Source organism: Homo sapiens, chromosome 7, assembly GCF_000001405.40.
Source record: "Homo sapiens chromosome 7, GRCh38.p14 Primary Assembly".
NCBI lineage: Eukaryota > Metazoa > Chordata > Mammalia > Primates > Hominidae > Homo > Homo sapiens.
The window spans coordinates 20979180-21004352 of NC_000007.14; the positions used below are offsets into that span (position 1 = coordinate 20979180).

Below are 25173 nucleotides of genomic sequence, written 5' to 3' on the forward strand. Positions count from 1 at the left end.
GTCCTGGGCTGCATGCAAGTCTGTGGGCTGCGGGTTGGACAAACTTGGTCTAAGTAAAATGTTATGTTCTCTTTGGTACTTTTCTTGAACTACAGCTTTTTCTCCATGGCAATTTTGATCCCTCTCAATTGTGTTTCCGCAGGATTACACACTTTTATTGAAACATTTATTCCAATGTATAATTCTTGACATGTCTCTTACTCCCATGAGATTCAGCCCTAACTGCTTCGTCTGTATTCCCAGGGTCTATCAGAGCCTGGCACCGAGGAGTGTTTCAGTAAATAGTTTAAAATTATATTTGCTGCTATTCCATATGATTTTATGGGTATTTATTATCTCCTGGCAAAATAAAGCATCAGGGTCCATGTGTGGGTGTTTCATAGGGGAAGAAAAAAGCCTCTTTTAAACATCTTGACCCTTAATGAAAGTGTTTTCTTTTACAAGAAGTTAGAGAAGGTCTTTGTCACCTACTTCTTAGCAACATGAATATTTCTAAGATTGATATGTTCTAGCGGGTAGATTTTTTTACAAACAAGATAACTTTGGAAACCAAACTCTAGGAGTTGTGACTTTCTCCCCTATAGGAGAGAATAACTATATTGTTCTCCACAGACGCCTTTAAGTTAGTTTTAATTCATTTGTAATATGGTCAAATGAGTGGGTCAGTGATTCCACAGAGGTCTTCTCCCCAACTGCTCCAAATCACTTTCTTTATTAAGATGGTATCTGATACCTAGGTAGTTTTACTTCCTTCCAGGTAGCCATATAGCACAAAATTATCTTATTATATGCCATTGGTCAACTAAGAGTAAGGAAAATGTATTCCTGGAGCTGTTTCATTATTTTTATCCAGTGTCTATATCTGCTAGAGGTTTAGACATCAAGTGCCGTGGATAGAAGCGGGTCTGTTATCAACCTAGGGGGTGCCTTCCCTGTATCTGAGCTGTTGGCAGATACAGCCCCATTCTAGCGGGATCCACACACAAAATACATTTCCCCCAAGCAACTGTTTTCATGTTTTTCCTCTGTTCCTGTTGAGCAAATGCCGCACAAAATAACCCTCTCCACTGGCATACGGTGAGCCCAGAGCGTCTTGCGGGCTTGGAAGGGGAAGCTCCATAGACTTTCTCTCCAATGTGTCAAGTCAGGGCACACGCAGCCCCAGTTACAAGATAAATGGTGGTGTGGGAACAAGTCAGCTGAGCCAACAACTGCCCGAGCGCCACAGTCAGTGTCTTTTCTGTAATTATTGCATTTAATACAGCTAGTTACTTGCACAAAAGAGCTTCCGGATACAGCAATTTCCACTGGGGGCTGTTTAGGAATGTACAGGCCCATCATTTAGCCCTGATATTGTTGGGTTGTCAGAATTGATCATAGCTCTTGACGGAACACCTCTAGCTTTTTTTTTTATGGAGTGCCTCAGAGTGACATTTCACATTGTTTAAGTAGGAGTGATCTGTTAGTTTATATTTTATCTAAAACTGCAGATCAGATGACCTCCCTCAGGGTCTAAATACATGAATCCTTTTCGCATGTTATAATTAATAGTGGAGCCGGGAGAGAAATTCATAACAAGAGGCCGAAGAAACTGGGCAGAGCAACTTGTCAAAAAGAAGGAAATTCCACTACAGATTAGCTTATTTTTAAGCATGTCAAGCTCTACATACAAACATGATCTATTGCTTCCTTGTAATGTCTGTTTGGGCCCACATGCTCCGGGCAGTGTCAGAGGCTGCTGTAAATTTTGTCTGAGTCAGGGCAATTCTGATTGATCTCTGAGTGTAAAATCGATAAGAAGACACTGTCATTTTCTTAAAGGATGAGCTAGAAAAGGAAAATAAATTAAGACTCCACTGAATGTCTATCTCCGCGCTCATTAATTCAGTGTGGTCTGTACTTTGTTAATGTTATGGCCACAGCTTTAATCTTCCAGGTGCTCTTCCTGTGGCTCCTTGCCAGGGGCCTCTTCTTATATTATGTATATTTCATCTGAAAGTGGGCAGGGGGATAAAAGGGCTGCCCTCCTTTCTCCCTTAGCTCCTGATTAATCCATTTTATTATTTTAGAGAAATACATCACCATGGATACTGATTAACTTTAAAATGGACAGAGTAATCCTCTCTCTCTCTCGTTCTCTCTCTCTGTCTCCTTCTCTCCAGTGTCCCCCCTTCATCAGGAGATGTATTCATTTGTCTTGAATAGTTTGAACAAATAATAATTCCAAGCATTTTGCCTTATATAATAAACTCTGTGAAGATTAATTCTCTCTCTTTCTCCCCTCTCCCGCCTCTCTCTTTTCTACACCCCCTGCCCCATCTCTCTCCTTTTTCATCAGGAGATATACTCATTTGTCTACAATAGTTTGGGCAAATAATAACTACCACACCTTTTGCCTTACGCAATCACTCCATGAAGGTTAACTTTCTTCTCTCTCTGTCACTCTCCCTTTGCGGCTCCCGTACCTCTCCTCCCTCCTTCCCCTCCCTCCCCTTCTTCTCATCCCCATTTCCATCTCCCTCTCCATCATCTCCCTCTATCCTTCTGTTTCTCATCTAAGGCTTTTTTTGCCAGACATTTAAAGAGTTGTATTTTTAGATTTCATCAGCTTTAAAACTTCTTGTACATCAAGAGATTTCCCCAGAATGCTTCCATTTTGTGGTTGTGTGTTGTGTTTTCTCCCATAGGCTCCCAAACGTGTCCTCCAGTTTCAGGTTTTGCATTTTGCTCCTCAGGAGAAGAAGACAAGGAAGGTGGAGTGTTCCTTGCCTTAATGGTATTCTGGGTTAAATGTCAACATTATAACAATCTATGTTTCTATCTGCTGCAGAAACTAAGCAACTAGTTTTGTCTAAAACTGTCTGGCTTCTGTGAGTGGAGGTGGGGAATCAAGTGTTCTTTAGATATTGCTCATTTCAGACACATTCTAAACATTTTTCTCAAAAGTCATAGCTCCAATAATTGTTCATGGAAATCCATCAATCGAAGGTTGGCTCCAGAAGCTTTTTGTTTGTGAAAACTTACAGAGATAATGCAAAATTTTGTTATGTTTTTCAAAACTGCAAAGTCCAAAAAGAAGGGAGAGATGGTTAAAAAAATCTGGATCTATGTGCTTCAAAGGCATTAAATTCATATTCATGAAGGGTGTTTTCTTTCTATAACAAAGCCTAGCACATGCCAATTAATTATTTCTCAGGGAAAGGTCGCTTAAGGGACTAAGTCTGTATCTCCATCTTCCCAACTGAGCATACTAAATGAATAGATTTGCAAATTTAATCTAGAAGCGACATACATTTGGCCTTGAAATTATTTGTCGTATTTATCTTCTTTAGAACATTAATATTTACTTATTATGGAGATCACGAAATAATGAAATAACATTTTGAAATTTATAAATAATATGCAAGTATTTTAGGATGAAATTTGAAAGGAAAATGTGTACTCAGGTAATATGCTTACTATTTATTTCCCCCCATTGCCACCATCAATATAGTGCCACCATAATTCTTTATAAAGGATACTGCTCTCAGAGAGCTGATAGGCATCAACTGGAAGTGATCACTTATATTTTTTTAAATTTTTGTTTCTTAGACCTAAAAATGTAAGATATTTTTCTTGAAGATTGTTTATGAAGTTGGACCGAAATAAGAAGTTTGATGAGACAATTAAATGGTTATTTTGTAACTATGTGGAAATCCACAGTTTGCTCAGGGGCACCCTCACTCAAGTATTCATTCACTCCTGCCTACCGTGTGCCTGGCACTCTGTCTTATGTGCTAGAAAACAAAGGGAATGAATGGGAAACCCTTCTAGCCTATTTCTTCACGTAAACATTAGAGATGACACCTACCCCACAGGGTTACTATGAGGATTACATGAAAAAATGAGATATATAAAACAACTAACATATAGTTGGGTTTTAATAGTAATAGCTTCTCTTCCCTTCATTTATTGACTGGGTGGCCTTAGGCAAATCATTTATGGAAGAACTTCAGTTTTCTCATCTATAAAAATGAGGTAATAATTTTTACCATGGGGAATTGTGAAAATGAGTAATAATGTGTTTTTGTGGCAGCCCATGATACATTTAATCTACTGAAATATTATTATTAATATTATTATTATTATTATTAAGACAGAGTCTCATTCTGTCCCCCAGGCTAGAATGCACTAGTGCAATCTCAGCTCACTGCAACCTCTGCCTCCTGCGTTCAAGCGATTCTCTTGCCTCAGCATCCTGAATAGCTGGGACTATAGGTATGTGCCACAACACCCGGCTAATTTTTTGTGAAGACGGGGTTTTGCCATGTTGGCCAAGCTGGTCTTGAACTCCTGACCTCAGGTGATCTTCTGGGATTACAGGCATGAGCCATTGTGCCCGGCTTTATTATTCCTACTTTTTATTAGGTCCAAAGGGTCTATAGGACATCCAGTTGAAGATTTATGTTAGGGTGTTGAAAATACAAAATTGTGGTAACTCACAAATTTTAGAACTTTAAATACATAAAACAAATATTTGGAATGTATTATATTCACAAACAATTATGAGTAGAGATGAGATGAATTTAGAAATGGCTAAGACATCTTTTGCAAGGCTGTTTTCAGATCATTACTGATATTTCTGCATTCACAGCTTGTAATACACAAATTATGAAAGCTGGACTTTCATAATTGAATAAGGCATTGGTAGAAAGTAGGCCTTTTGGAATTTTGGCATAGGCATTGTGGAGAGAAAGTTACTCGCAATGTAAATGGTGGCCAATGTAAATGGTATGTCTTTCATACCACAGACGTCACAGACTTCCTTTTGGCCAGAAAACTCAAAGCGGTGAGGGGCGTGGAAAGTCTATTAGTTCAAACACAGTACCTGAACTACACTAAATTTTCTCAATGCCATTGACAGACTTAGGAAAGGATTATTTTTCTCAATATGTATCTAAAATTTAAATATACATTTACTTTGACTCAGCAATAATTGTTTTAGAAATTTAGCCAGAGAAGATAATTCCACAAGCATACATAGATGTACAAACAGGGTTATTCAGTGCAGTCTTGCTTAAGGAAAAAATCTAATTGCTTTTTCATAAGTGATTAAAAATAAGTTATGATTTGTAAATACAATTGAATCTTATGCATATATTTAAAATGTTTATCGTGCTTTATAATTCTTGATATCCGGGACATATTGTTGAGATTATATGGAAAAAAGATCACTAAAATGTAAACAACAGTTATCTCCTATGGATGGAGTTTCAGTTGATAACTTCTGTGATTCTCTGCATTGTTTGAATTTTCACAATGATTATTCTTACTTTTTATAATCAGAAAAAAATGTTTATTATTTTTGGAGAAAAAGGTATACCTCTATATTTGTTGGTTGGGTGGATTTAATCTAGGTCAGTGGAAATGTGAAATGATTTTTCTTTGGGATTCTGGGATACATCTCCTAATTGCCCTTTCAGGTTCTAGCCCAGCATGTTAGCTTATTTCTCTCTCTACCTTTTAGCCATCCCAACATTTTCCACTGACAGACAAATCTGAGAAACGTGAGTTTTCTTCGGTTCCTTTGCCTCCTGATCTGGAGATTTCATTTCATGCTCATGCTATTAATTACATGGGTTTAGCGTGATTATTTGTTAGTCAGGCTTGAATTGTCACTCTGATTGACCCTACCTGGGCCCTGATCAAGAAAGGGGAAAGAGGCCGGGCACGGTGGCTCACGCCTGTAATTCCAGCCCTTTGGGAGGCCGAGGGAGGTGGATCACAAGGTCAAGAGATCGAGACCATCCAGGCCAACATGGTGAAACCCCGTCTCTACTAAAATTACAAAAATTAGCTGGGCTTGGTGGCACGCATCTGTAGTCCCAGCTACTCAGGAGGCTGAGGCAGGAGAATCGCTTGAGCGTGGGAGATGGAGGTTGCAGTGAGCCAAGACTGCACCACTGCATTCCAGCCTGGCAACAGAGCAAGACTCCATCTCAAAAAAAAAAAAAAAGAAAAAGAAAAAAGAAAGGGGGAAGAGAGGAAATTCACACATTTTTAGTGAAATAACAGAATCATACTTTTGTAGATTTGGAACTTCTTACTTGGTTGCTTATGTGGGGATTCTGTTCTGCCTTAATCAGCCCAGGCTGCCAAAACAATATACTGTAGACTGGGTGGTTTACCCAACAGGAATTTATGTTTCTGGAGAGTAAAAGTCCGAGATCGAGGTGCCAGTGGAGCCAATGTCTGCTGAGGTATCTCTCCCTGGGTTGCAGGTGTTTACCTTCCTCACTATGTCCTCATACAAGCTTTTTTTTCTGGGATGTGGGTAGAGACAGAGAAAAGAAAGTAAGCAGGCTCTCTGGGGTGTCTTACAATAAGGGCACTAATCCCATTATGTGGGTTCTACCCTCAAGAACTCATTTAAACCTAATTACCTCCCAAACGCCCCATCTTTAAATACCATCACATCGTGTGTTTGGGCTTCAACATATGAATTTGGTGTGGGTAGAGGGGCACAATTCAATCCATAGCAGCTTGTCAAACCTGAAAAAGTAAGACCGAGCCTGCTAGACTGTCAAAGGATCTGCAGGCTTTGAGGAACACTCAAAATGATTACTTTTGTGAACTCCGTAGGGCCATAGGGGGACTGTATGTGGAAATACAGTCCATTCATGTCATTCACAATAAAGTCACTACAAACACTGAATTAGCAAATACCGAACCATTGCTCCTAGGAGAAATATTAGATTAAGTTCCTTTGAGTCTCTGGCCATAGCATTTTCATCAACCCATCAATATGTAACCTTGTTTTATGTGTGTTTCTGTTTAAGGCACCATATTTAATATATAGTATATTAATTGACATTGAACTCACAGCCAGCAGCACTCTAACTCATGCCTGAATGAAGTGCATGTAACACACATGTTTTCTCTGTAAGGCCCATCGCAGCCTTCTTGAGCTTAGAACAGTAGAAATCACTTTAGCACTACACCGGAGGGATCATTTTAAACAATGAAATCACTAACAAAGATAGAAAACACGTGGTGCAACTTTTGAACTCAAGACTTGTTCTTCCTTTTCAAGATTTGTTCTCAAGAATTATTAATGTAGAAAAACTAAACAACTTGTCCTGGGTCCATGTTCCCCAGGCCATGGCTATATTCCCCACCCATTAAAGGGAGAAGCAGATCCCATTTGGGCAATGAACTTAAGGGCCTTGGCACTTCTTGTGTGTAGTTTCATTAAACATTGCAGCAGCAGTACCTAGGGGAGCAGTGTTTTTGCCTCTTTGGACCCAATAATGTGTAAATTCTGTCACAGAGAACCGTGCACTGAGTCTAAACACTCATATTTTGAAAATACATTTTTACGTTCACCAAGTTCTCTATCATTTCTAAATTTTTATAGCATTACTATCTTCTCATATTTGTCTTCTATCTTCTAGGCTACTATTTACATTTACCCCTACCCTGGATTTTAGACAATAAATAAACATTGGAGGCATGTGCTGAAAGTAAGATTTTACCAGGCAAACAAGGAGAAGAGTTTTCATGGTCAATTGTTTTTTGATGTTTGTTTTGTGCTGAATCAAAGAAGCAAGAAAGAGCTTGGTGTGTCCGGGGATCGTAGGTGGTTTGAAGTGACTAGGGCGTGATTCTCAAGTGCTTTTCTTCATAGCACCCCAGAAGTGTGGGTGGCACTCTTTAAGGGATAAAAAGATATAAGGTGACATTAAACAAATCAGCAATAATCATAACCCAACTGGTACTCCTTCATAGAATATTTCCCAGCATATATAAAAGTGCCCACAGTTATCTCACCACACAAGTAGTTACTCTTCAGCAATGTGGTTGTAGTGGAGTAGTATAGTTTACTCCCCTGATGAGGTATACTCATGAGCCTTGTAAATCTCACTTTAGAGTACACTTTGTTTAGCCTCTTACTGGACACCCCATATCCTTTCAGCTGAACATTCCATCTGACAGGCCATGGCAAAAAACAGTGCACATTCTATTGTAACAAAAATTAAGTGTGCACATTTGTCAAAATGGGGTGGCATATCTTGCAGATGCTTGGCAGGATGCCTGTGGGGAATCACTAGGCTCCAGGAGAGGATTGTATGGGGGAATAGAGTAGATGTGGGAGGAAAAGCAACAGCAGCAATAAAGATGACATCCAGGGTGTATTGAGAGGCTAATATTGATAAATCTTCATTTACAGTGTTTCTAATCCTCACAACTACAACAAGCAAACTTGTTGTTATTAGTTTCTTTTTCGGAGGAGGAAAACACGGCTACAAAGGTTAAGTAACTTGTATGCATCTATTCAAGTAATAAGAAACAGAACAGGAATCAAACTCAGATTTATCTAATTCCAGAATCCAGGCTTTTCCCCATGATATCTCTAAAATTAGGTGATACTAGATCAAAAGTATCCTCATATGCTATCACACTGGGATGTTTAAATACTACAATCAAAATTTCCTATAAGTGTGTCCTGTGTGGGATAGTAATTCTTCAGGATGGGAAATGTTGTTACTCTAAATTAAGGGCTCTGGAGCCCAGGTAGGCTTATAAAATGCTGGACTTCACTAGCCATGCACACGCTCAGGGTGCCCATCTCTTGAACAATAGTTTGTATTTATGAAACCACTGTTTGGTGTTGGGGTGTATTCTGGTGCCACGAAATAGAGCTTCTGTAAGTGTGATGCTAAGCTCACCCATTCAGAGATTGGACTCATGACCTTAATCTCATTAGCAACGCCATTCTAGACCCATACTATAGCTTCTTAACCAATCACAGTGATACAGCTATACTTTGAGGATACATAGCAAATTCCTTCAGTTGCATGTTTTGTTCTGCTTTGCTTTTTTAAAAATCTCTTTTTAAACCAATTTATTCTAGGATGTTTAAAATTGCTTAAAGAATTTTACCTATGCATTTGAATGTATAATTAAATATGTGTGTACGTGTACATGTACATAGATAGAATAAGTTCCCAATTTTATTTTTAAATATGTGCATTTATATATGTATATAATCATGTAGAAAAAAAGGTTGGAAGAAATATAACAAGATAAGCATTGATTATATGTCTGGTGGCAATATTACTGGTGGTTTTAATTTTCTTTATACTTCTCCACATTTTCTAAATTTTCAGTAAGACTATATATTATTTTTATAATGAGAAAAAATGTATATTTTCAATGTGTTCCCATTACCTAATTTTAAGATTTGTTATATTTATTTTTGTGTTTCAATATGCCTGGCATATGTCCCTTTTGCATATTTTATTCATGGACTAAAATCCTTGTCTGACTTTCACAACTAAATCAGCTTCTTAATGCTGAGAAGAAAAACTAAAATTTGCATTAAGACTGAGTGAATGAGTAATCGTCATTATGCGTAAGAAGTGTTTGGAGTTGTATTTCTTTGTGTGTCTGGTGTGTGCGTGTGTGTGTGTGTGAGTGTGTGTGTGTGTGAGTGTGTGTGTGTGTGTGTGTGTGTGTTTTGACTACATGATGGGGTTTGAATGAGAAGAAATACAAAACAGAGGTTAGCTCAAGCAAGAGATGGAAGGGAAAACATAGAAAGAAGAGAGTGGGGAATGAAGCTAGAAATGGGTAAAACACAGACAAAAGCTAGGAAAGAGGTGGAGAGTAACAGCCAGTGAATGTAAGGGTTATACATTTCAGAGCATGCTATAGAAATCTCAAATTCCTGGAGGCTAACTGCAGCATATTTCTAATAGAAACTGAGACTATCCTTTCTCTTCCATGTTATTTATATTTTTCTTTGTTGTTAGTCTCCATGATCCTTTTTACATAAAGTTTCAGCCTCTGTGGCTGTTAATATGAACAGAAGGCTGCTGCTTTAGACAATTACAGTCCTATAACATAAGTAAATAAGTTTGAATCATGTTATTTTCAAATAATTATATTTTAAGGATACATTGGTTGACTTTATCCATATGATTCTCACAAATATTAAAAGGAAACAAAATAAGGTAGTCATATTTCTAGAATTGTGGAAATTCACTAGTTTTGGTTTATGCAGATTTGTGTAACCTACATTTTTTTGGTGGTGGTGGTCCTTTTCTCCTTTTGGGGAGACTTGTACACCTAGGGTCTGGAGTTCACGTGAACCTGAAAATTGGACCAAAACCCCTAAGATTACTTAGGCTTTCCTGGCTTTCACTCAAAATTATGAAGCTGCCTTGCTTCTCATCAGCTTGCTCATCATGTGCAGAATTATTTCCCATTGTTTTGTTTACATGCATAAGTGCTTCCCCAATTTTTGTGTATGAAAAGGTAAGTCCTTTAGACTGAGAAATGGTGATTTCTGTTTTCATTAGTTATTAAATACAGGAAAAGTTAAATAGTCATATTTGCAGCATATTTTCCTCTGGGAATTTTGGGGAAAAAAAAAAGTAACTCCATCTTTCGAGAAACAATTTACACTTTGTCCTGGACAAGAGACAAGTCTTCCAAACAAAGGGGAAAAACAGCTACAGTGTTTAATGTTGTTTGGATTCTACATGAAGGCAGAAGTATGATCACCCAGACTTATTTCATGACAAAATTCAGTTCAACAAACACACACTGAGGACTTGGTAATGTGTATGTCACTATGGTCATGCTAGAAATTCAAAAACAAACCCAACATGACCAAGTCCGGCAGGAGCCAAGTGTTGTGGAGAAGACAGATGCAGAGACATGTAAGTTAAGAAAACTAAGTTATCTGAGCTGATTTAGAATATAACACAGATGAAAGGGCAACCGAGTCTTCCATTAGGGGCTTCTCCAGTTATTACCAACCAACCAGACATGTAAAACTATGTGGCTTAATTTTCTTCCATCTCTCTGAACTTCTCGTGGTATGTTTATTCTAAAACTTCAAACAAATTAAGAATCTTTTTAAGTGTCTTTGAGGGTTAATTGTTGAAGTATATTCTCCACACTGGAGACACCCTACAACATCAGTTTCAAACTTTTAAAATTGAATCCCTTTTCCTAAAAAAAAAGTTTTACATGAAAAGTCAAAATACAAAATACAAAACACATAAAGGCAGTGCTAATCCAGCTTCACCTCCCTCTTCTCCTCACGTTTCCATGGCATAGCTCTAGGACCAGGCTCAGTAGGAGGCATTTTGAACCCATAGCCCTAGAAATCACAAAATATTTAATTTATATACTTTACTTTTCTATTCTATGCCAATTTCATAACAATTCTAATTTTTAACATTTTATATTTTGTATGTGTTTCTATAGTTATATGCATATTTGCTACTTTAAATTTATTTTATGTTATTTTGAGCACAAGAGTCCAGACGTTCAGCCAGGCGCAGTGGGTCACGCCTGTAATCCCAGCACTTTGGGAGGCTGAGGTGGGCAGATCACCTGAGGTCAGGAGTTCGAGACCAGCCAGACCAACATGGAGAAACGCCATCTCTTCTAAAAATACAAAATTTGCCAGGCGTGGTGGCACATGCCTGTAATCCCCGCTACTCAGGAGGCTAAGGCAGAAGAATCATTTGAACCCGGGAGGCAGAGGTTGCAGTGAGCCGAGATCACGCCATTGCACTCCAGCCTGGGCAACAAGAGGGAAACTCCATCTCAAATAAAAAAAATAATGCAAAAAAAAAGAGTCCAGAGGTTCAGTATCACTTGTTTTGAACAACAGATCACTTAACATAACTAAAGGAGCCTCTCAAGGCTTTGATTTGGATAGAAAACTTAAAAAATAAATCACATTCCCTAATTACATATTTTAAAGAATTTATGAGAAAAATTACATAGTTGCTATCTTCTTCAAAATGGTGATGTTACTATTATTAAGAAATCAGGTATTCTGAGGCTGTTTATGGTTTGCAGATGACTGTGGTCTTTAATAGATGTCCCTTCCATTGGCTGCTATTTGGAAATATCATGCCCAATATCACTTTTAAAGTTAGCTAGGGATAACTTCATACTTCATTGGAGAAAAGGGTCACTCATATGGGGGAGGTGCCATCTCTACCCCCTCTAAACTCTCCCCTCAAACTCAACCCTTCCACACTGAGTCTGTTCAGACTAAGATTCCATAATTAGAGTTTCATTCTTTGTGACTCTTAATGTTTTATCCCCTATGAAAATATATGGACATCTAAGAGAGAATGCTCATGAGATGGTAATCCACTTTTTATTGGGACTGATTTTTTTTTAGAAACGTTCATAAGATTTTGACCCAATGGTGAATAGAGAGACATCACAAAGGACACTATACCTACTAAGTAGATTTAATATGTCAGAGAAGAGGAAAACAGCAAAGACAACAATACATGGTCCAGGGTCTACTTATACTCTGCAAGGTGTGTTCACATGAAGCTCTTTGTTTGAACTGTATCATTGAAATACCAGCCAGATGGCTTCAGAATATTCTTCTCTAGACTGGGATTTCTCAATTTGGGCACAATTGCTGGACTTTGGGTTGAATAATTCTTTGTTGTGGGGTTGTCCTGTGAATTGCAGGATGTTTATCAGCATTTCTGGCCTTTATCCACTAGATGCCAGTAGCATATGCCCCATGCTCCCAGTTGTCACAACCAAAAATATCTCCAGACTTTGCCAAATGTCTCCTGGGGGGCACTATCACCCCTGATTGAGAAGCACTGGTCTAAGTTAATCTGTGTTTTTCTCTTCCTCCCTAGGGGTTGAGGCCTTATCAGCATTTTTTCAAGATCATATTGAGCAGCTGCATATTTACTTTTAAACCATTGTCACCTCATCTCTAGCCTACTCTTGAGTTCTCAATCAGTATGATGACGCTTTTAGTTCCAAAATTTTATAGCTACCCATCACACCTAACCATTGTTGGTAAGCATAATCTTTGCAACATAACATAAGTCAAGAAGAGCGGATTTCTCAGCCAGTTAGGAAATTGAGCACAGACACTATGCTCAGTCCTTTGACCATAGTAATTCATTAGTTTTCAACTGGTCTCCCAGATGATATAGTGACTGTCAAAATCCAGTTTTCCACTTCATCTGACAACTCATAATTTTGTGTTTGTGAGTATTTGTTAACAAAATAACTTAATATGGTATGAATAATTAGTTCGCCTTTGAAGATCAAGGGTTGGTATCTGATTTTAAATAAGTTGTTTCATTTACGGTGTTGAGTTCAGGATAACTATGATACAACGACATCACAACAATTATATTTAGCACGTCTAGATTCTGCTCAGAGGACAGCACAAACCCACAGTTAGCGCTATGCTGATAAAAATACCAAATCATAGTGTTCTAGGTTCTAAACAGGGCCATGCAGGATCTTAATGCAGAGAGACTCAGGCTTCACTTGTCAGCGGAAACCCTAAATTATGGTAGAGAAGCCAACCGAAGGTTGAAGCAGAAGCAATGTTGTAGAGAAAGCATGAGAGCCAAGGTGAGGGCACAGGCAGTTCTGAATCATGAAGTCAGAGCCAGGAAGAACAGAAAGAGGCAAAGGAGTATAACAAAAACAGTTTAAGGCAAATTGTTCTGTCTTAATATAGAGAACAAAGCAAGAATCATACAATCCCTTTTCCATGTACGCTGGCTACACGGTGTACAGCAAAACCTGAAGGCTTACCAGTGCACAGTGCACAGTAGGACAAGATTATACTTTAAATCCTGGACTATTAACTCATGTCCTCTAGATAAAATTCCCAGGCTATCCACAAGATTATAAGTGTATGCTAATATTTGTTTCTAGGTCCCTTATTATATACTAAATCATGGCTCTACAAAAAGCACAAGATGAACTCAAAGTAGATTTAATTATATACTTTGCTACATTTTTGGCACTTTAAGAATACACTTGATAGGATGCCTTCAGCTCTAATTCACCTGGTCATATGAATATTAGAAAGTTTTCAGAATACTCTACTTTTGAAAAGATATACAAATACTTGCAAATTACACATCCAACAAAGGTCTAATATCTAGAATCTATAAGGAATGTAAACAATTAAATTAGCAAAAAAACAAACAATCTATTAAAAAATGGCCAAAAGCTGATCATGAGGTCAGGAGATCAAGACAATCCTGGCTAACATGGTGAAACCTCGTCTCTACTAAAAATACAAAAAATTAGCCAGGCGTGGTGGCACATGCTTGTAGTCCCAGCTACTCAGGAGGCTGAGGCAGGAGAATCCCTTCAACCCAGGAGGCAGAGGTTGCAGTGAGCCGAGATTGCACTACTGCACTTGAGCCTGGGCGACAGAGTGAGACTTGCTAAAAAAAAAAAAAATGGGCAAAAGACATGAACAGACACTTCTCAAAAGAAGACATACAAGCAGCCAGCAAACATATGGAAAAATGCTCAATATCACTAATCATCAGAGAAATGCAAATCAAAACCACAATGAAATGTTATTGAACACCAGTCAGAATAGCTATTATTAAAAAGTCAAAAAAACAACGTATGTTGGCAAAGCTGTGGAAAAGGTAATACTTATGCACTGTTGGTATGCAGAAACAGAAACAGATACGAATGAGGGATCATTCATATACCAAACCTCAGCACACACAATAGATGTTTTTAACAATCCTGCACATGTACCCCCTGAATCTAAAATAAAAGTTGAAAAGGATATACAAACATTAGTCAAAGTTATTGGCAAATACAATATGAGATAATGTGATTCTCATTATCTATTGCATAATAATTTAAAAATAATTTGCCAATTTTGAAATAATAAATTTAAACATTTTAAAGATTGGTGAATACTTTTAATATTTTAAAAATTCAAGGAATATTATTCGTTAATAATATAACATAGTGGTATATAATGTTATCAGTCAACAATGGCACATCATCATTCACACAGGATAGTATTATACCTTTCATGTCTGCTAGCTATGCATAAGGAAAACAAAAATTGGTTGAATCAATTAGAAGAGATAACATGTAAAAATGGTTAGCACAGTGCTTGGAATAAGCAGGTACTCAATGGTAACTCTGGGTGAAAAACTGGGGCAGGGAAGTTGTCTCAAGATATCCAGTGTAATTGAGCCAGGGAAAGAATACAGGATTCCTGTCTTTTGTTTGATATGTTGGACCTAGGAAAGGAGGCTTTACCTGACATAATTTTTCTCTTTGTAGTATTTATCAACATGATGATTATCTATTAGATGATATTAGTTATATCTTAATCATAGTGAAGCCTTGACTTCTATGAGCTTTGATCAATTTACTTCATATCTCTGAGTTTTCTCATCCGTGTAGTGGATTTACTACCATTTGCCTCATAAGACTGTTCTTGGGGTTAAAGGAAAGAATGTATGCCGGGCGCAGTGGCTCACGCCTGTAATCCCAGCACTTTGGGAGGCCAAGGTGGGCAGATCACAAGGTCAGGAGATCGAGACCATCCTGGCTAACACGGTGATACCCCGTCTGTACTAAAAATACAAAAAATTAGCCAGGAGTCTTGGCAGGCGCCTGTAGTCCCAATTACTCGGGAGGCTGAGGCAGGAGAATGGTGTGAACCCGGGAGGCGGAGCTTGCAGTGAGCCAACATTGCGCCACTTCACTCCAGCTTGGGCGACAGAGCCAGACTCCGTCTCAAAAAAAAAAAAAAAAAAAAGTATGTACAATGTCTAAGTATTTTACATTAAGAGAATCTAAATATTTTGAGCAATATTTCAGGCCATTATTAAGGAAGTTTCTTTCAGAAACATGTCTCTATGATATATTCTAACTTGAGAATTTGGTTTATATATTTAGCTTTTCTGATTAGACATTTTTAATGGCTACATCCTTAAAACTATATTAAAAGGATTTTTATTCTATTTTCTATAAGCTTTCTTGTTGTTTGGCAGAGAGCATTATTTTACACTATCTCTTAAAGGATCCAAATGAGAATAGATATGGCTTCTGAAAGTCTTGGGTATTTTTGATCTTCTAAGTCTTCAACCAATTGTCATTTCATTAAGGTGCCCTGCCGAGACGTTCTTTCACATACCATCATTAAGATGAATTGTAGCTCGGCTCTATAATACACGTATTACAAGCTCAGTTCACATGTGTGTTGAAATTGTTACTACAGACAAGGTTCCATGGCCTGGAGAGGAGTGCAGCATCACAGCTGCTGTTTCAGGCAGCTTTGCTGTCAGTTTCAAGTTAGAAAACCACTTTCTTAGTGATAAGAATGCAGCCCAAAACAGGAATTAAAAAATTGTCTCTGTGACAGAAGACAAGTACTAAAGTGAATATCAAAGATTACTTTATAACTTATTTAATGTGGTAAAATATACATAACATAAATATCTAGCACTTTAACCATTTGTAACCATGTGGCCAGTTCAGCGGCATCATCAAATACATTCACCATGTTCTATAACCATCACCACTATTTTTTCTCAAAACTATTTCATCATTCCCAAGATAAACTCTGTCCCTATTAACTGGTAACTTCCCATTTTCACTTACCCCCAGTCCCTGGTAACTTCTATTTTACTTTCTTTTGGCTATTCTAGGTACTCCATATAAGTGGAATCATTCAATAATTGTTCTATGTCTGGCTTATTTCCTTCAACCTAGTATCTTCAGGGTTCATCCATGTTGTAGCATGTATCAAAATATCATTACTATTTATAATTTAATCTAGTGTATTAGTCTGTTCTCATGCTGCTAATAAAGACATACCTGAGACTGGGTTATTTATTTTATTTTATTTTATTTTAATTTTATTTATTTATTTATTTTTTTGAGAGGGAGTCTTGCTCTGTCACTCAGGCTGGAGTGCAGTGGCGTGATCTCGGCTCACCGCAAGCTCCACCTCTTGGGTTCACACCATTCTCCCGCCTCAGCCTCTCGAGTAGCTGGGACTATAGGCGCACACCACCACATTCGGATAATTTTTTTGTATTTTTAGTAGAGACGGGGTTTCACCGTGTTAGCCAGGATGGTCTCAATCTCCGGACCTCTTGATCCACCCGCCTTGGCCTCCCAAAGTGCTGGGATTACAGGCGTGAGCCACAGCGCCTGGCTGAGACTGGGTAATTTATAAAGGAAAAAGGTTTAATGGACTCTCAGTTCCACATGGCTGTAGAGGCTTCACAATCATGGCGGAAGGAAAAGGAGAAGCAAAGGCATGTGGTACGTAGTGGCAAGCAAGAGAGCTTGTGCAGGTGAACTCCCATTTATAAAACCATCAAATCTCTTGAGACTTACTGTCACAAGAACAGCACGGGAAAGACCTACCCCCGTGATTCAATTACCTACCACCACTGGGTCCCTCCCACAAAACGTGGGGATTATTACAATTCAAGGCGAGATTTGGCTTGGGGCACAAGGCCAAACCATATCATCTAGTGAATGTATATCCCACATTTTCTTATTCATTCATCGTTGATGAACACTTGGGTTGTTTCCACCTCCTGGATATTGTAAATAATGCTACTATAAACATTGGTATACAGATATCTGTTGGTGTCTCTGCTTTCAATTCTTTTGCATATATGCCTAGGAGTGGAATTGCTGGGTCATATGGTAGTTCTCTATCTTTGATGTCTGGAGAAACCATCTAATTGTTTTTCACAGTAGCTGCACCATTTTATATTCTCACCAGCAATGCACAAGGGTTCCAATTACTGCATATCCTCACCAGTACTTGTTATTTTCCGTTTTTTTTTTTTTCCTAAAAGTATTATTATAGTCATCGCAGTGGATACGAAGTGGTATTTTATCATGGTTTTGATTTACATTTTCCTAGTGACTAATGATATTGAATATATTTTCATGTGCTTATTAGCCATTTGTATTCCTTCTTTGGAAAATGTCCATCGAAGTTCTTTGCTCACTTTTGAATTGGTTTGCTATTTTTGTTGCTGGTGAGTTGTAGAGGTTCTTTATATATCAGATATTAATCCCAATATGTGATTTGCAAATACATTCTCCCATTCTTTAGGTGATCTTTTTGCTTTTTTGATAGTGTCCTTTGATGTTCAAAAGTTCTTAATTTTAAGTTCAATATATCCATTTTTTCTTTTATTTTCTATGCTTTTGGTGTCATATGGAAGCTTACTGTTCAAACTTTCAAATATAACTTTATCATTTATTTCCAGTAATTATTTTTACAACTTTCCTGTCTTCTGTTATCTGTTGCCATCTGAGTTTACAGGGTGCCATAACTGGAGCTTAATCCCTTTTTACAGCCAACATGATTCTCAGTCACATAAAATTGGTTCAGTCTGTTGACTACTCCTTCAGCAGCTGCATATCACCTCATTCTTTCTACTGTATAACACAAGAGGGGACAAGATAAGGTATTCCATGGTATCCACTATCCAGGCACATAAGTAAGACTGACTTTGTTGTTGCATCATACTCACATTCTAAGCACAACTGTACTTGAGGTACTTGTGTTCAACCTTGCCTTTTATTTCTTTATTTCCAGAGATCAGCTTTATTTAATTCGGGTGCAGCCAACAGAACACAAAACCCCAAAATCAGGCCTAAAAATCACTCTCCCACTGTTGTCTGTAAAGTCATTGTTAAAATAAGGCTGATCTCAAAATATAAAAGTATTCAATACTAGCTAGTCCCCAAATTCTTCTTTTATTTGGTCATATTTTGGATCCAACAGGGTGAATAGTGAGAAACAATGTACATGATGGAAAAAAAGTAATGAAAATGCCAACCTAAGAGGTACATGGGGACTTGAGAGACCAGAGAGGTCAGTGCCAGGCTGAGACACAGAAAAAATGGCCCAATAGTCCTTTATGACCATGGAAGGCCAGGTCCATCAACCAGCTGGTCCTCTTTTTGGGGATCCTTATCAACCTCTGTCTCTAAACAGCTTCTGAATAGTAAATGCCTTGGAGTTTAGGCAGTAGCTTAATCCAAAACAGAGATTATAAAAAGCAAGGCAGCATGTGAACATTAGTAAGTCAACACTTCCATACCCATTGCTTATTTACTGACTGTAAAGACTAGTAAACATCTTCAGGATGTGTCATGGCTATGCTTTTAATCATTTTTTCTAGTAAAAGCAGCCCAGACAAGCAAGACATATGGTTAAAAATACACTAAGTGTGACTATCTCAGCAATTGTGTGGCAGTAAAATGATTGAAAGACCTCCTAAGACCTTCAAGAGGAAACAAAGAAATATGACTCAGCACAGCCATATTAGAGATATGCAGAGTAAGATTTCTGGAAAAAAGTATAGTTAAGACCCAAGAAAAAAAAATTCACTGAAATTGAATGGGCATATAGAGCAAATCATGTATCCTTTTCCATCAGGTTAACAACTGCCTTATAAATCAGCTTCACAGACTTCCTCCACTGTCTCTGGGATGCCTCATGCATGACTCATCTGCTCACCTCCGACAGTACAGGCTTCTGTACCTCAGTCCTATCCTCTAGAGTAGGAGTCAGCAAACTTTTTAAGTCAATAATCACATAGTAAACACTATAGACTTTGAGAACAAAGAGGCAAAATCTAGGATATTATGTAGTGACATACAACCTCTCTATGTGTGACCATCTAAAACCATAGAAACCATTCTTAGCCAGATTTTGTCTGTGAGCCACACTTTTCTCACCCCAGTTTTGGAGGACTGATCAATATATTAGGCTACACATTGTGAAATAGTAGCAATAGTAGGTGATTAGCAATTAGGGTGAATTTTTCCACTTGGGGGTTCTCCATTGACATAGAATGCAAATCACTGGGCTGGGCGCAGTGGCTCATGCCTATAATCCCAGCACTTTGGGAGGCCGAGGTGGGCAGATCATGAGGTCAGGAGATCAAGAACATCCTGGCCAACACGGTGAAACCCCGTCTCTACTAAAAATACAAAAATTAGCTGGGTGTGGTAGTGCATGCCTGTAATCCCAGCTACTTGGGAGGCTGAGGCAGCAGAATTGCTTGAACCTGGGAGGTGGAGGTTGCAGTGAGCCGAGACTGCATCACTGCAATCCAGCCTGGTGACAGAGCGAGACTCTGTCTCCAAAAAAAAAAAAAAGGATTGCAAATCATTGTGTCCTCAGAGGTGCTAGATCATAAGTACATGCCAAAACCATTTAAAGTTTCCTTTCCATCAAGGTGTAGGTGGCATGTAATGGTTTGTAGCTCATTACTGATGTCTAAAGTTACATAATAAAGACTTTTCAAAAATAACGAATAATTTCCTCCAGAGTTTGGGAAGTCTGAAGGTTCCCCTTGCCATCCTGGCCTTATAAGAGTATTAAGAAGCAGAATATGACCCTCTTGTTACTGTGATGTTGCTAGTGACCAACAAGCAGCCCAGACAGGTTATGAGAATGAATGAGATAATGTCTGTGAAGTGCTTTGAGCTTTTCAGAAGAAATTTTCTTTTTAATTAGAAAATAATGCTGTATTATTACAGTTATTATGATTATCACCATTATTAAAGGTAGATCCAGGAGACACAGCCTCTACAATAAGAAAATTTGTAAAGGAACCCAAGTAACTCATAAAATAAGTGGTTCATGCACAAATTATGAGCTTCCATTTTATAATTACAGTGTACTAGGTGGTTTTGCAGGTACTAGTTCATTATTCATCCAGAAGAATTAGTCTTCACATGTGTAACAGCTCCCAAAAGATGCCCAATGTATGCCAAACACAAAAGGAACAGAAGAAAGCTCTGTGTGACCACTGACTTGTAAACTTGAAATTTAATTGCTTATTAAGAATTGTCTTTAAATTTGCACAAAAATAGTAAAATTGTGTCAATGAAGAACTTTTGTTAAGAAAAGAAAAAAATGCAAATGTGAGTTTTACATGTATGAACAAAGGAATAACCAAGTAAACCATATATTCATTTACCCTTCCATTATATTAAACATTGATAATGCTTTTTCTTAAGTACTGTTCATTTCAAAATGTAAGAGTTCATTATTATCCACTCTGGTTCCCAAATGCTCATTTTATTTTGCCTCATCTCTGGTCCCATAGAGGCTAGAATGGTAAAGAATGAAAATGAAGGATAAAGAAGAATCAAAAAGCCAAGAGAAGGGTTTAAGGAGTTGTTGCTTGGGCCCAAATGGCCAATGGGAGCCTAGGAGGGAATGCCCAGCAGCCGGTCTCCTCCCTTCGCCATTGGACTCTTCAAACTCTGCTATTAGCACTTTCTGAATATGGAACTTAAACTGTGGCTTAATCCAGAGATCTGAAGCTGGAAGACAATATGCATCATTGAGAACATCAGAATCTGCTGTCTGCCTGCTCCTTGGGCCACATAGTATGTCTCCAGACCTTCTTTGTGTAGGAAAGGTTAGTTATTTGCCACTTTCACCCTCTGTGGACAGCCAGTCCTAATTTCTTTAACTTGCCCTCTAACCCACCCCAACATGCAGCCTTTCAAATTCCCTTTTTAAGCTGTTCATTCTGAATCTGCAATTGGGTAGCCATGTTCACTTGCACAGAGTCACTAACAGAGGAATAGACATTTTTTAAGCCTGTGGTTGGCAAACATTTTTACAAAGGCAAATTCAGAGAATAAAAATAAATGGACCCCATTTTTCCCATCCAAAATAAACACAGACTTATTAAGTCCTAGAAGAAAAAAAGTTTATATACGTTCTGCAAATTATATTGGTGACCTTATTAAATAAATGAAAGTCAATGAGAAAATTGGCAGAGCCTTTTAGACAATAAAATTTTAAAAAGCCAAGCATGTTTGAAGAGAAATCAGAAATTACATTTTAATCTTTCAACCCTTATATTTGTCAAGTGCCTTAGAGTTCAAAAATGATGTTCACATGTCCCCTTTCATTTGTTATTGGCAACACATCATGTGCGTATTATTATCCTTTCTATTTTCCAGCTAAAGGAACTAAGGTTCAGAGAGGCAAAGCGATCTTTGTAAGATCATATAGCCAATTTGTGGCAAAGCTTTGGACAAAATTTGTTTGTTCCTTTATTAACTTCATACATAGAGTGCTATTTTATGATAAGAGTTTGGTTGCTATAACAAAGGCCCAAACAAGAGAAAAGTCTATTGATCTCTAATTCAATTGTCTGTAAATAGTCTGAGCATAAACAGTCCAAGGCTGTTTTACTATGTGGAGGATCCAGGTTCTATCTGCCTAATTCATCTGCAGCTCATGGCTTCCATCTCATGGGCTAACCCAATGGCCAGAGTTTCCATTTTCACATTTTAATTCTAGCTAGTGAGAAGGGGAGAAGAAAGGGAAGAAGGGCTCTCTGCTTCACTTTAAGAGTATAATCTAGAAGTGGTATACATCTCTTCTGCTCCCATTAGCCAGAACTTGAAAACACCTACTGGCAAGTAGCCTTGTCCTCGGCTAAACCAGGGGATTCTATTGACAAAGCACAAGTCATGAAATGCATACTGGGGGACAATAGCCATCTTTGTCATTTCGAGCACCTATTGTATGTCAAGAAATAGCTAAGGTGTTGGAATAGAGAAAGGAAGAAAATGTGATTACCTTCCCCTCAATTTAAGCCACTATGAGCTTTCCTCCTCTGGTTGGAAAAGTCCCTCTCATCCTCAGGTAGACAGGATGGTTTGAACCAGGCATCCCAAGTGTGCTAGGCTGAACTATAACCACCAAATATGTCCACATCCAAATACCAAGGTTCTGTGAATGTTGCCTTATATGGCAAAAAAGGATTTTGTAGTTTTGATTTAACTAAGGATCTTGAGATAGAAAAATTATTCTGAATTATCTGGGTGGGTCCAATATAATCACAATGGTCCTTTTAAGAGAGAGGCAGGATATCAAAGTGAGTAGTAGAAGGCAGTGTCACCATGGAAATAGAGATTGTCATGATGTGCCACAATTCAAGAAATGCCGGCAGCCTCTAGAAACTGAACTGACCAAGGAATCAATTCTCCCCTGGATATTCTATAAGGAATCAGGCCTGCCAGCATCTTGATTTTAGCCCTATAATACTCATTTTTGACATCTGACTTTCAGAACTGTAAGATAATAAATTTATGTTGTTTTAAGCCACTAAGTATGTGGTAATGTGTAACAGCAGCAATAAACAGAAACAAATCCATCAGGTGAATGATAAGACCAAATGCCACTTCTCAGAAAAGCCGGATGCTAGGACTCAACTTTGTGTATGGTGACATGACCTCTTGCACCACCCAGCTGGAAGACAAATATCGGATTTCTTTATATATCATGTTGAGCCCCTGGGAGCCTTTTTCCTCTTGAACCCTTTGCTTTGAAATTAGATCCTCAGAGGAAGCTTCAAAATGGCGGACTAGAGGGACCTGGCACTCACCTCCTCCACAAAGAAGAACCAAACAGCAAGTAGGTAACCACACCTAGAATAGAGTTTCTGAGAGAGAAGCAAATTCAGCAAGGAAGTGACAGGAAACCTCTGGGACAAAGGAGGAGAAGGAAGCAAAGAAGTCTGCCTGGCTAGGAGGAATTCCCTATTGCAGGGAAAATATGAGAGATATGAGAGATGTCCAGTGGTCCACATTCCTACTGCACACTCCTGCAACCTCAGCCATGGGAAAGCCCCTTGGTCCTCACAGGCCCTGTGACTACTACAGGGAGCTTCCTAAAGTCTATGCAGAGGTATTGTTCCAGAGAGAAAAAGTTTATGCTGGGTTCCACATAAGAACTGAGACCCAAGGAGCTGCAGCATGGTGCAATTTTGAGAGCCCAGCCCCCACCAGATTATATCCTGCCATGGGGCCCAATAGCTCCAGATCCCTGGAGCGCTGCTGACATCCTCCCACATTCACCCAGAAAGCTGCAGTATCATGATGCCAGCTGGACCCAGCACTGTGACTAAATCTCTAGCATTCTAGCCCATGCAGTGTCCTACACCCAAGGGAATAATAGGTGGTACAGCACACCAGGGAGAATGCCACCAAGACAAAGGGAGTAAAGCATGTGCTCACCAGAACCTGAGAGCCACCTGACTAGGCCACTGACACTGACAGGAGCCTGTGCACTTCAATGACAGGACTGTTGACCACATGCATACACCTTTAGAGGGTCTGGGGACTGGCTTATCTGATTGCACTGTCCCAAGGCCTAAGGAAAGGCCCACCCTGTCTGCTGCAGCCAGTGCCTGCTTGCACCACCCAGGAGTCTGAGGACAGGTCTACTCTGCTCACTTCCACCACTGCCAGTGCTTGAGTGTGCTGTCCAAAGGCTTGGGGATTGAACCATTCCATCTGCCACTGCTGGCACCCACACACATTGTAGGGGATCTGGGGATTGATCTGCCCAGCACACTGTTACTGGCACCCACTTATACCATTCAGGGGCCTGAGGACAGGTCTGTCCTACCCACTGCTGCCACTGCTGGTTCATCATCCGGGGACCCAGGGATCAACTCCTCTCTATCTACCATGACTGTGCCCATGCACATCTTCTGGGAGCTTGTGGATGGGTTCAACCTGCCCACCACCACTACCCAAATATGCTGAAAGGGACCTGGGGATAAGCCCACACAGCCTACCACGATTTCCACTAACTTATCAGCTTGTCCCACTGATGGAACTGGGGACTGGCCTACTCAGTCCACTATCACCAAGATGACACCAAAATGTGCCACTCAGGAATCCAAAGAGTGGCTTGTTACTGCTATTGCCACTGCCAAAACGAAATACGCCTTCTGAGGGTGAAAGAAGCCCCCTGCTTACCTCACCCACTGCTATAGCCAGCACCCAAACAAGTTACCTGGAGGCCCAAGGACTGGCCCACCAGGACCTGCCTCTTCTGGTGGCTGCATATGTCACCCTGGGGCCTGAGAACTGGCATATCTGGCCCACCACAGGTGCCTGAGGATCAGCCTGCCTAGTGTTTCCATCCCCAGCAAAGCCTCGCCACAGCCTCCAATAACAACAGCAGCCTAAGCCACTAAGAAACACACAGACACCAATGATGCTGATTAACAGCCAAATAAATCATACAGAGATCACACTACTGTACCTACCCAGAATCAAAGCCAAGCACCCTAACCAACCAACATGATAGTACATCTATGGGAGAAAGTATTTTCCTACTAAAACCAAATCATTAAATTGGAAGAAGTGACTGTTACATCAGATGTGGAGCTATCAATGTAATATCAGCAAAATATAAGAAACATGAAAAAGCAAACATGACACCTCCAAAGAAGCACAATAATTATCTAGTAACTACCTCAATTTAAAGAAAATCTTTGAAATGTCTGAAAAAGCATTCAAAGTGAT

At 39.0% G+C, this 25173-nt stretch overlaps 1 long non-coding RNA gene across 1 annotated transcript in view, besides 1 other annotated feature; it reads left to right on the forward strand.

Annotated features, from left to right (window-relative positions):
* Nucleotides 1–25173, forward strand: part of LINC01162 (long intergenic non-protein coding RNA 1162) — a 187718-nt gene that overhangs the window by 143749 nt on the left and 18796 nt on the right. The gene's annotated exons all lie outside the window — the stretch shown is intronic.
* Nucleotides 753–2402: an enhancer, noted in NCBI's record as "VISTA enhancer hs1148". NCBI's record gives its function as "enhancer in: limb[4/4]" and the evidence as "EXISTENCE:transgenic organism evidence [ECO:0001131][PMID:17130149]".